The following is a 13,136-nucleotide window of genomic DNA, read 5'->3' as shown; positions in this document are numbered from 1 at the left end:
GCTGTTGGAGTCAGGCAATTTAAAGATGTGGCTACTGGAGCTCAGAGTCTGGGAAGAAGACACTTCTGCGTCTGACAGTGAATCAGGCTCCCAGTTTTGAAGATGTGCTGTAGGTAGTTCTCGCTGAATCCATTTCCCAGTTGGTTTCTATTCCCCGCCCCATTCCTGTGTCCCCACACTTTCCACTTGATTTTACCTCTTTGACAATTCTATATTTTACTTTCCTTCCTCTCATTCCCCTTTTCCCACCCCCTTTTTTTACTGTAGTTCTTGGCCTCTGACTACTGTTCCATGCTGGATGTCCCCAGAAAATAGAGTATGTTTAGAAAGGAGACAGTGCATCTCAGAAGGGCCTCCCCAGTCCACTAGTCCATTTTTTAATGTGTTGTGCTCTATGGGTGTCAGGAATATTTGTAGATGAAGTAATTTGTGGCATGAATTTTGATAGAAGCAGGATCACCAACAAAATGATAAATGTAGGTACCTGTCTACCTTGCATAATATTCACTATGATCTTGAGAATTTCAATGTATAATTTGTCTTTATTCTTATTTTTCATTAGAATTAACAGAATCTCAGAGCTGGTAGAAAGTATAGAAACTGTATATACAACTCTCATATTCAGATGAAGAAAATGATGCACAAAAAATCAACTGTCCTAAGCCATTCAGCTTGTCTATAAGTGCTGTTGGCTTAATTATAGTTTTGCATATATTTAGGCAAAGAAAATACTTTCTCAGAAACTGGTTAGGACTGTTTGAGAAGAAATATAATCATCAAAATATATACACAGTAAAATGTAACCGTCCATCATTCAACATAGGCAAGAATATATATTGAATTGCCTGAGTGTATTATTCGTATAGCAAAACTTACTTGAATTTCTAATAAATCTTCTGACCTCTGTATATGTATAAAATATATAAACCAACCAAATTCTGTACATAAATATATTTTTGGATACCAGTACAATCCCTATTTCACTTTTGTGTATTCCAGTTATTTATTACTCACAGTTCTGTAGTTTTAACCAGAACAAAGGGATTACCCAGAAGAAAAGAAGGTAAGCTATTTCATCAGTTTTGGTGGAAATCAGAAGTTTTTTTTTCTATTATTAGCTTTGTATTCTTAAAAAAGAAAAAAGAAGGAGAAAAAAAATCTCATCTTCTCATTTATAAGAATTCCCATAAAATTTGGCAGTGGTGAGGTGGGGAGGAAATGCATTATCAATAAACAGCTAGATCCTATTATTGGAGACAATCAGTTTTATTCTGCAGAAAATATAGTTTGTTCTTGAAGATTTAATAGATATAATATTTTTTAAACCAACATATTAAATATACCAGTAAATATTTTTGTTAAACAAGGCTTTTAAAATTTAAATTATACCCCTAAACTGGCTTTCTAGTTTTTCTGGAGAAATAAAGAAATTTTAAAGGAAATATCCACTCAGATTAATACTGCAAATATCATACAAAAATGTGTGTGGTGATATTACTGAAAATGAGGATTTTTGAAAACTAGAAGAGCAAAAAGTCGTTGCTCCAAAAGGCTTCAAGACTGCCTTAGGATTAACAATGCAAGTCTTCAATGTATTTAGGTAATCATAATTTGATTAGCTTTCTAAACCTAAACATATTTTGATTCAAATGTTTAAAATATGGTCATCTCTTCAGTTAAAGATGAACATTTTGATGAAATAACAATACTTAAAGCGTTCTCCGTCTCCACAATTAAGTGCTACCTGTTATTTATTCAGAGCATATGTTTCAGTCTCAAAACACCAAGGACACATCTCAGTGAAATAAAAATAATCACTTTTTTTAAGAAATCAGAATCATGTGGCAGTCGGCAGGCTTAATTTATATTTTATGGTCTCCAAATTCAGATGAATATCATCAAGATCTGAATTGTCTCAATGGCTGTCATAATTTAAATAATAATATATCAAAAATATACACTACTATCATATAATTAATTTGTATATATGGAAAATTGAATTCTCTTAGCCAAAAAAGTACAGGGAAATCATCACAAAGGAGGATGAACATGATTATTTTTTCCTGTTACTTCTATAGACTTCTCTGTAACAACTGATATGAAGATATCATCAGAGTTTGTAGGGGTGCAGTATCTGTGGTGTTAATAAAGGTATCTATAATCAAATATAGCAGAAATAATTAGGCTTCACGCCAATTGCCTTTCCTAGAATCTTCAGGGACAGGAAGTGCAGCTGTGTATCACCTGCCCATATTCTACAAATAGCACTGAAGGACATAACTCAATGAAACTTGAAATCAGATTGCACAAAAATACATTATTCCCAATTTTCTATTTTTATATTGCTAGATAAATTGTAAATTCACAGCAACATTTGTCTACTGTTATCTTTATGTTGCAAAATTACACTAAATTTTGAGTGACATCTTTAGCCAGGGGAGCCTAGAAACATCCTTTGGCTAAAAAATAAAAAGGTTATAATGTACAGTAGAGAAAACATTTCTAGAAAATATGCCTTTCACTGTGCCTTTAAAAACCAAGAATTTTTTAAAGGCACAGTGAAAGGTATATTTTGATCAACAGCTTATATTGTTTAGAAATTTGGCTGTGGTTTAGTATTTTGTCAACTAATTGTCAATCACAAAGAAAATTTAGAAAGAGATGAAATAGAAATAAAAGTCTTATTAGGAATAGTAATTATATAGATAGTGAAATTACTACTTTTTTTATAAGGAGCAGTAATTTCATAATGTAATAACTTCCTTTTCAGTAAAAGAAAGTGATTAACAAAGCTGAACATTCACACAAGGCAATGTACCACATAATTCAAAATGCCAGTGCAAAAATGTTAGTTAGTCAATAAAGATTCAATGCTTGTCTGTAATAATTAGTCATAGTTTCTGCACTTAGAAGGAAAGCTCTCCCCAGGAGTTGAGAATTAGAGTGGAAGTGGAGATTTTGAGTATAAGAAAAGTGAATTTCACTCATGTTGCAGGGTTACACTGCTGTGATGGAAGGCTTTCATTTTTCAAGTAGGAAACATGGAAATTACAGTAACTATGGCCAATTCATATTGGCCTAGAGAACACTTTATTTTTCTCTGGGCCCGAATTTCTCAACAGGTGCCACTATTGATATTTTGGACCAGATAATTCTTTGTCCTGAGGAAATTTGCTGTGCATTGGAGGATTTTTATCAGCATTATTGACCTCTCCCCAGTAGATGCCAATAGTATCCCCTCCCACTATGGTGATATCCATATATTGCCGAATGTTCCCTTGAGAACAAAATCTGCTTAGACTATTTGTCTAGGCAATTTTGCTTTCTTCATTTATCTTTATGCAAAATTAGTTTGATTGGTTATTTGCATTCACATTAATAGGAATTTTGCACAGAGAAAGTTTATGTAATAAGTTAAGAATAGCTCTACAATGCAAATGTTTCTGCAGGATATAAAAATAAGAATCGCAATGGTACATTCATCTCTTGAAATATTTGCTACACAACACATGTTGAATGTTGAAAGATGTTGAATGTAGGCTCTTATTTTGTGCCTTATTTGAAAATTTGCAGTGCAAATAAGGTAAATAGATGCAAAATGTTTGCCTTTGGGTATGAAAAAGTTTTCTTGTGTATTATAGTTAAATATGGTAATAGGTTTTTAGAGGTAACTTTCTGTGGCAGTGAACAAAACAAGACCCTACTATGATGATTCTACATGGAGCTGATTTTAACAGAAGAGTAGCCTTCATTGTGCCTTTCCATAAATGTTGGCTTTATCCATGTATTAAAGCACAGATTTCTTGGGAGACCACAAACATTGAGAGTGAAAGATAAAATCTGAAGAGAACCTGGGAAATCATCATTAAATTGAGCTGATAATCATGATAATCATGTCTAAAATATGGACTGTTAACTTTTTTTAAACTAAGATGAGATGGCAGAGAAGCTATTAACTTAATATGCCTCTCTCTCTCTCTCTCTCTGTGTGTGTGTGTGTGTGTGTGTGTGTGTGTGTGTTTTGGTGGAAATAAATTGATAAGAAAGGAAAAAATAATAGTCACATGGAAGCTTAGGAGGCAAGTCAATAACAGAGAAATATCTAGGTAGTATGAAATCTTCAGCTTTACACAATAGAAAAAAGTATATTATATGGAATTGATCCATTATTGTTTCAAAAATGGTGAAAGTTGTTAAACCAGTAACTTTTAGCTTAGTTTATCTGTTAAAAAAAAGCTACATGAACAATTCAAGATTTAGTAAATGTTGAAGATTTCCCTTCAGTATGAATTTATAAATATCTAATGAGTGTGTGTGTTTGTGTATATGGCTTCCTCATTGAGCACCTGGAATGACTTAGCTAATTTGCCCTTCATTCTTTATGACTTTCATGGATAATTTCCCAAAGCTCCTAAGGATTATTTATTTATTTATTTATTTATTTACTTATTTTTGGGACTGGTTCTCGCTCTGTTGCCCAGGCTGGAGTGCAGTGCCGTGATTATGGCTCATTGCAGCCTCAACCTCCCCCACTCAGGCAATCCTCCTACCTCAGCCTCCATTGTAGGTGGAACCATAGGTGTGTGCCACCACATCCAGCTATTTTTTAAAAAAATTATTTGCAGAGATGAAATCCTCCTGTATTGTTCAGGCTGGTCTTGGTATCCTGAACTCAAGTGATCCTCCCAGTTTGGCCTCCAAAAGTGTTGGCATTACAGGCATGAGCCACCTCACCTCACCAGGTCACTTACTTTAAAATTTTCTACTAGGTGATGTGAAGGCCCCCAAATTTAAATATACCAATATTTCTCTTTTATTATATTTTTAAAATTTGAGGTTTTAATAAGCTATCTAGATCCATGAATATTAAAATAGATTTTTCTTTTGTAGACCCAGCATTGTTCACTGAGGATAGATGTGGGATCAGTTCCTTTCAGGTATTAATTGTAATGTTGCTAAACATATTACCATGAATCTGTAGTATCAAAATTCAGATATTAAACTTGGGAGGATTTATAGTCCAACTTGTAGTAACTAAATAATAAAATGGTGGCATGATTATAGTTCAATTTTTTTCTTTATGAAGAGCTTAGGGTAACAATGCTTTGTTCCTGTATGTTGCACTTTTAAATTACAGTAAAGTGTTTCCCTGAAAACAAATAATATGGCATGCAATAAAGGGGAAAAGTGGATATGAGAACTTATCCTTGCCAGTATATTTGAAATGTGACTAAACATTTTTACAGTGAATATGTTCATATTGAAAAGAAATTACAATTTCCTTTAACCAAGTACTGGGTCACTATTTCTTCCAACTTAGTTATTGAAGAAACACTCAGCTACCATAGATTTGCTAGGCCGAAGTTTCTCAAACTTTAGCTGTGTCAGCATTACTTGGGGGGTTAATTGGAATGCATATTGCTGGGCTTGATGATCAGAGTTTCTGAGAACTTGTGTTCCTAACAAGTTCTCCGGCGATGCAGTAGTATAGAGAGGCATTGTTCTGGAGACATGCTTAATTTTAGGTACAACTTATTTTGACTTGAGAACTTTCTCTTTATTAAAATAGCAAAGGCGGTGTAGATGAAAATAAATAAATTGTATTCATTTGGGTTTTCTCATTTGCAACAGACCACATCAGCATTACCACTGGAAAGAATGACTTAGGAGAGTGGTTGTTTTAATGAGAGATTCTTTACATGCCATTGAAAGACAGGAAACCTTAAAAGAAAAACAAAACTGATAATCAACTCCTAAATGGGGATTTGAATTAGCTAAAATCTTTTTTTTTTCAAATGCCTACTACAAAGTCAAAGTTCATTCTCCTAGACTAGCAAATACTTTTTTATCAATATTTGTTTATATTTTCCCATAATTATCCTTATTTCACCTGCCACAAAAGAATTAATCATTTTATGTCCTCAGTCTTCAGCCCTCCCTAAAGTACCCAATAGCTCTTGTCCTTCTATAAGTCATCACCTACGTGTACTTTAAGACCCCGCTAATTCAATAATTTTATTTAAACGTTGATAGGATTCTATTAAATTTAAGGTATATTATTAATTAAACTAGAGGACATCTGCTGTAGTGAATAAATTATCCATGATTTAAAAGCAAAATTCAAAGGTAGACAAGGCCACCTGCGGCCATAGAGGCTGTGTAACTTCAGAAAGAACACTTATGAGTTAATGATAGGAATGGCACTCTCTGGAATTGTACAATCCAGTGTGCCTTAGTCAGATATAATAGGTCAGGTTTAGCAAGACAGGCATAAAGTTCTAGCCTTAACTTCAAAATTCCATAGAATGTGGGAGACATGAAATAAGAATGGCACATGGGACTTTTGGCTATTAGTTGACCATGAATAGCTCAGTGTGATTCAATAGTGATATGTAACTGCCCTCAAAAACTATGAAAAGCTTAGAGTTTCAGCAGAGGATGGTGTATCTGTTATGAGTGAGATGAGAAGTCTCTCTCTTCATGGCTGGTAGAATGAATCCAGAATTGTCAACTTCACATAAGTCTCAGAATATCCTCAACCCTGCCTGTTTTAGGTGAAACTAATGCACCAATTATTTCATTCATTTACAGAGAAACTTAAGCTAATATGTACATTCAGTACAATAAGTAATACAGACCCCTCAACAGAAAAAAAAAAACACCAGAAATTATCAAACTGAATTTCTTCAATTAATTTCAATTTAATTTGTGTGGACAAATATGTATTGGTTTTGACAATAAAATATGTCAAAATACTGTAGTGTTTAAAATTCCCATATGGAAATATGGCACCATGATTGTAGCTTCTGAATGAAAAACAGAGTTTTCAGTAATTTGTACTCTTCTGACTACATAGCATGGGAAGTTGAGAAAGAAATTCTTCTAGGTTGAATACTGGAAAAATCATCATCTGTTTCCTCTACTCAGTCACTAGTATACAAAGAAGGACTTAAGCAGATTTGCTGATTAATTTATCGGTATCTAAACATTTTGTTTTCTCTTAATTCAGTGGATGAGCTATAGTACTGGAACATTTATAGCTAAACTTTGTTATTTGGTTATTGTCCTTATAAAACCAACTTTTGCTGATAAAACATATTAACACTTATGGATGCTTTATAAATCCAATAATACAGCTTTGAGAGCATTTACTCTGTTTCCCACAAATTTTAATAAGCCTGGCTCAGCTTTTTCGACTGAAGCAAATGCACAGACCTCTACACTTCAACATGAAGACCTCCAGTTCACAATGTGCATATCCAAAGCACTGATACTAATGCTGTATCCAGAGATTTCAATGGGGAGGGTAATCTGTAATAACAAAATTGTATCCCTTCCTTCCTGCAATTACCTCACTATCCTCACAGCCTTGACATCTGGAAACCCACTGCTACTGTAGCAGCTGTGACTCCTCTCCTAGCAGGAAGTTAACTACACATTCCAAAGAGCACCAATTGTTTTGATATTTTCTGGCAGCTCAAAAAGCTTGGATATTGGTGAACACATTATTTTGTGGCAACCACATTTTGGAATTATACACAAATGTACAACATGTCACAATCTGAACAACTTACAGGTGTTAATGTTGTCTTTCTCTTAATGATATCATATTCCAAATTTAATCATTTTAAATATAGAGTAGTATGTTAGAGAATTAAACCTCATTCTGCTCATACTCACTTCTGCCATCATTTTCTCAAATGATCAACACGGAAGAAGACTTACCCAAAAATATGCTCCTATTTAAATCATTGGAAGAGAATTAATTAATTTGAGTTAGAAAGTAAGTATTGTGAGAATCATCCTGCTCTGTATTTGCCCACGTAGCACCTCTGTTAGCAGAGATTTTCAGATACTTATTAATTTTCTAGAAATCGAGACCTCCAAAAGAAGAGCAGAAATATTAAATGTTGGGCAAATCTAACTGCATTTTAGTGTCACCAAATGCCTAAAATTATTTTGTGTTTTTGAGCTGATAAATCTATATATTTTTTATTCAGATTTCTCTTATTCTTTAAAAATAATCAAAGGGATGACTGCTGGATTGATTTACTGCAAATTTATCTTTGAAATGGCTACAAATAATTGTTATTCTCATTTTAAGAGCATTAGTGTCTTTTGTTCATCAAATTAAGAATGAAATGGATTTTAGTACTGCCCTACAATTACTTTGGTAATCAAAATGATTGCCAATGATCTCCAAGAAACTAAACTGTCTTGCTACAGAACAGATTGAGGATTGTTTTGATTCACAGGAAAGCTCTGCAAAAATATGATTAATTATGATTTTGATTTAGTTTATAATTTTATTTTTTATTTCCGTTTTCCCTCTTCCCTACATTCTTTTAAAATATGGCAAAGTTTTCCATTGTATATTTTTATTTGACCTAATTTCCAATTAAATTTAATATTTCTCCTTGCTTAATTATTTCTTCTGGAATTTTACACTCATAGTGATTAAATCTCAATCTCCTCTCTCTTATTCTCTTTCTTTTTTTATTCTCTTTTTCTATCACACACAATTTAATAGTTCATCTTAAGTGATTTCTGATGCCTTGTATTCAGTGACTCTAATTTCTAATATCCTCTTCTTGTTAAAAATATTTTTGCAATGTATTTATAATATCTTTCTATTACACTGATTCTGTGTTATGTTTAAGCGTTTGATCACTTTTATTCAAATGTTCCTATGATAACCAGAAGATACTGTGCATTCTCATATTATTTTAATGCTCCAATGTATACTGCAGGCTTAAATAACCATAAAAGTAATGTTTGTTTAGAAAGTGACTGGTTTGTTTACCTTCACTGCTGCAGAAAATCTCACTAGGCAATTTGCCTGGGGCTGATACTTGTAACCATTAGCAATTATGGATTCTAGAAAGACGTTGATAGGAAGTTTTTAAAAAGCTATTTCAAAATCGGACACAAAAAATACAACACATTTTCTAGGATTGTTTTTCTTGCCATTCATGCTGCTTGCCTTTCTTATCTTAACTAAAATTCACTTTTCATCAGCCTGCAATGAGTCACAAAAAATGCTGTATCAATCTTGGGTTGTTCCTGGACATTCATAGTCAGATAAATTATTTTCAGAATCAGCAAAGCAGAATTATTTTTATAAAATGGTGTCTTTACACATCATTGATGTTTTGCAGAGGTCTGGACAAAACGCCAGTGATGTACTTTTAATTGCCAAGGGATCCACTTACACAAAGGAGACATGGGCACACCATTCTACCGTCAGGGCACTCATCATTTGACTTATGTATTGGACTTTAGGGGAAACACAAAGAGGATGCCTGGGACACTGTTCTCATCCTCTAAAGTCTTTACTAATAATATGTCAAAGTTGAGTAATAATACACACTAAGTAAAAGCTTTTCAACAGAAGCATCTCCATTAATCTCCACTTTGGGCCAGACAGCAAACTGAGCCTCTGTTTCTATTAAATACAAACTGATCTGAAATATTTAGAACAAAGAAAGCACATCCTTTCAGCTAAAAGTTATAGATATCCTTTGCTACATGACAAATGGTTAAAATTATCAAATATTTATAACAATATGATTGAAGAGTTCAGTTACAGGCTTTGATTTTGACTGTTTGCTTGTTGATGAGTGTTGTGCAGAAATGCCCAATATGTTTGAATTGCTTCACTTTGAGCATGATTTGTGCCAGAAATAGTGCTGATTAAGCTGTTTTTTTTTTCCTTTTTCTTACACATTTAAAAATCACTCTTTATTTTCCAAAGACCTCTTGGTCAGAAACTTGCATTCAAGAATTTTGCTATGCCATAATATAATAAAATGTATCAAGGCAGAAAATAAAATAAGCAGATGATTTATGCATAAGACGTTTTGCCTTTAAGCTATTCAAACCTGACTTTAGTGAAGTTTATTATCAAAAGTTTCTCACCTGATAACATAAATTTTGACAGAATGGAAATGTTAGTTTTAGCCAATAAACATACAGCCTTTAATCATCCCAAAATTTTCACCTAGGAAAGAAACTGGAAATAGTTCTTAAGTCTAATTAGAATGGAGAGATAAGTAACATTTTTAATACTAGATTTAATCTTGGCAAAAATATCTGTATCTCTAACTCAAACTCACTATCTACTTTTTAAAAATAATATTGCTCATCTTTTAATATAAAGGAGAATCACCATATAAGCCATTAAGACCTAAAATACACTGGGTGCTGGAAGCTATCATTGACATACTGTCATTCAAAAATTACATATGTATTTGGCATAAATGTAATAGTTCATGTACAATGAGCCATCAAGACTATGTGCAAATCCCAAGAACTACTTCCTTTTTCTAGTTTTCTTAAAGAAATAAGACATAATGAATCTATTACGAGAATCTCCCACAGTGTAGCTTCCCCTTAATAATGTAGTATATACATTTAAAATTACAATGTAATGCTTAAAAATTGTTAACATTTTACAATTTTTTAAATTTAGAGACTTGATCTGGAGAGCATTGGGTGTGATTCTGCAAATCATGCAGCATATATTTTATTACAGACTTAGCTGCTGAGGTTTCTTACAGAGGTCAAATGTGTGTGTTTATGTTCTGCTTAGTCTTATGACAAAATATATCACTATTGCTTAAAAAGAAAAACATATAAAGAAGAGAACTACAATGTTCTTAACTCCTAGCCTACAAATGCCACTAAGCTGTCCACATCAAGACATTTGAAGTTAGCGTCTCATCATTTTAAACCCAGATGTGTGTATTTTGGGCACATTTTTTTGAGCACTACATAATCATAATGTAACCTAAAATAACAATGGAAGAAAACTAAGCTCTGCTTGATAAAATGCACTTTATTTTACATGGTGTTCACAGAATGGCTTAGATTAAAAAAATGAAATCTGTCTTAGTTTAAGACAGAAGCACAAAGACATTTCCCTTCTGGACAACAGACTTTGGCATTGCAAGATCAAAGGAACAATTTTATCTGCATTGTGACTACAGACCAAAAGATTTTACAGTATTCCTGTCTCCGTGCTAAAGCCTATGTGTCTTTAATGGCATTTAAATTATAGCCCTCTGTAGCCATGCAGTCAAAACACCACATCATCTGATGGGACACCATGTTATATTCTGTCAGTATGTCTCATTTAAAAATTCTTCTATACTGTACTTGCCCTCATTTTTCTCTTCTGGAAGAAAAATTGAGTAAACTGCCTTTTTAACTAGGTTTACGAGTTGAAGTAATCAAGATAGACAAAGACATACTTTGGCTTACATTATTTTAACTTAATAAATTTAAACCAACTTAAAGATTTTTTTTATTCTTTTCATTCTTCCACATTTTTGTTTGTTTGATTTTAGGATTTTCTTCTCTCTAACGTATCACATGGCACATGGCATACTATAGACTTTTGTGACATGAAAAATAAAAATGTGTTCCCATCAGAAAATTATAGCTAAAGCATCGCTTTTTCTAAGCAAAGTATTTTACGTTAAACTGATTTATAATAGAATGACTATTATATATAAAAGAAAGGAGCTGTTCTCTGAATTCTGCTATAGCACATAATGCAGATGGTGTGTTTCAAATGTCACTGGAGAGACAAGTTTTCATTTGAATATGTACTTCTAACATAATGTTTATTATAGTAACTTAACAATAAAAACTTGCTGAAAATTAGCATTTTACTCAGAATATTCCTGTACGTATAAAAATAAGATATTACATTTTCTTGATCTGCAGTCCAATACTCTACTCCTGAGCTGTACACCCTCCTAGATGTTACATTTTCTACAGAATCAATGAGCTTTTTCTCAAAAATAGATATAATCAGGAATACACAATTAACCTACACCTTCCTGATATCCAATATTATATATATTGATAAGTAGTTACAGCCATTTGAAAAAGTAAAACATTTTTTTTCAGGAGCATATGCTAGATTAGTAACTGATGGATAACTTTGCTTTCATGCTTCAGAATACAACAGGGAGTTTCATGCATTTTTAAGAGTAGATTTAAATAACTTGAAAATATAATGAATTTTTAAATCACATGTTCATTTTAAGATTGAGATGCAATATGCTTGTTGAGGATAAGTGATTTTAACATGCCCATGGGAGGCATTTCTTTAAAGTGACACTATCTTAGATAAAATCAACGGAGAATATTTATGAGAATATGTATATCTGTTTTGGAAAAAGCCAACCATTACAATATATTGATTCTGATTTTGACTGACTTTTATACCTATTATTTTTGTGTAGAAAATCACATCTTCTATTTGCCACATATAGGGTAGAAATAAAGGGGGCTACTGGAAACATAACAGATTTGAGGTGTAAAGTCTTTTTCTAAATCTGGAAATGCCAAGGAACCTTTGACATATTTTACTTAGCTGAGGAATCAGGTAAAAAATGCAGAAGGTATTTATTGAGAATGGGGATAATTTATTATAACACTTTCTCATTGAATTAGGATTGGATGTCTCCATACTTGGCTGACATTTGATAAGAAATCATTGTCAAATAAGAAATTATTGTCAGAATATTGTGTAGCTAAGTGGGAACATATGATGCAATATTTTCATTAAAATACTTTTTTTTTCTTATTGGGAGCAAAAAAAATCGTGGTTTTCAGAGGCAAAAGAATAGAGTAGAAAGAACACTTTTCTTTGTGTGGAAAATAGTTAATTTTATATCCCCATTCTCTTCTACCCTACAACACTAGGATAATTCCCAGAATTATTTCTGGAAATATGTTATTTGATAAATACTAAAGACTATGTGCAATATAACGAACACTTGTAAATCTGTTATCCAATTTAAGAACTAGAGCAGCATCAAAATTGATAAAGCAACCTCTGTACTTCTCTGCCTTCTCTCCCTCAGAGGTTACTATTATCAAAGTCTCCACGTACAGTTGTGCAGGTTGTGTACTTTACAAATCTAGGGAATGCCTACCCTTACATACAGTTCTGATATGAACAATTCCCCTTAAAGTGTGCAGCGCATCACCTACACAGGTTTTCACGATGGTTCTCCATCCTCCTGAATTTCAGGGTTACCTTTTCAAATGAAAGTTTAGCTTGGTTTGAGCTTTACAAAAATGGTAATATTTTGTACATATTCCTACTATTACTGGCTTTT

General features: G+C 32.8%; 1 long non-coding RNA gene across 1 annotated transcript in view; it reads left to right on the top strand.

Annotated features, from left to right (window-relative positions):
- MIR181A1HG (MIR181A1 host gene) overlaps positions 1 to 13,136 on the top strand; it is a 129,427-nt gene that overhangs the window by 37,806 nt on the left and 78,485 nt on the right. The window lies entirely within an intron of this gene.

The sequence above is a fragment of the Homo sapiens genome, chromosome 1 (genome assembly GCF_000001405.40).
Source record: "Homo sapiens chromosome 1, GRCh38.p14 Primary Assembly".
NCBI lineage: Eukaryota > Metazoa > Chordata > Mammalia > Primates > Hominidae > Homo > Homo sapiens.
The sequence above is the reverse complement of the archived record's forward strand: the minus strand, read 5'-3'. Positions and strand labels throughout refer to the sequence as shown.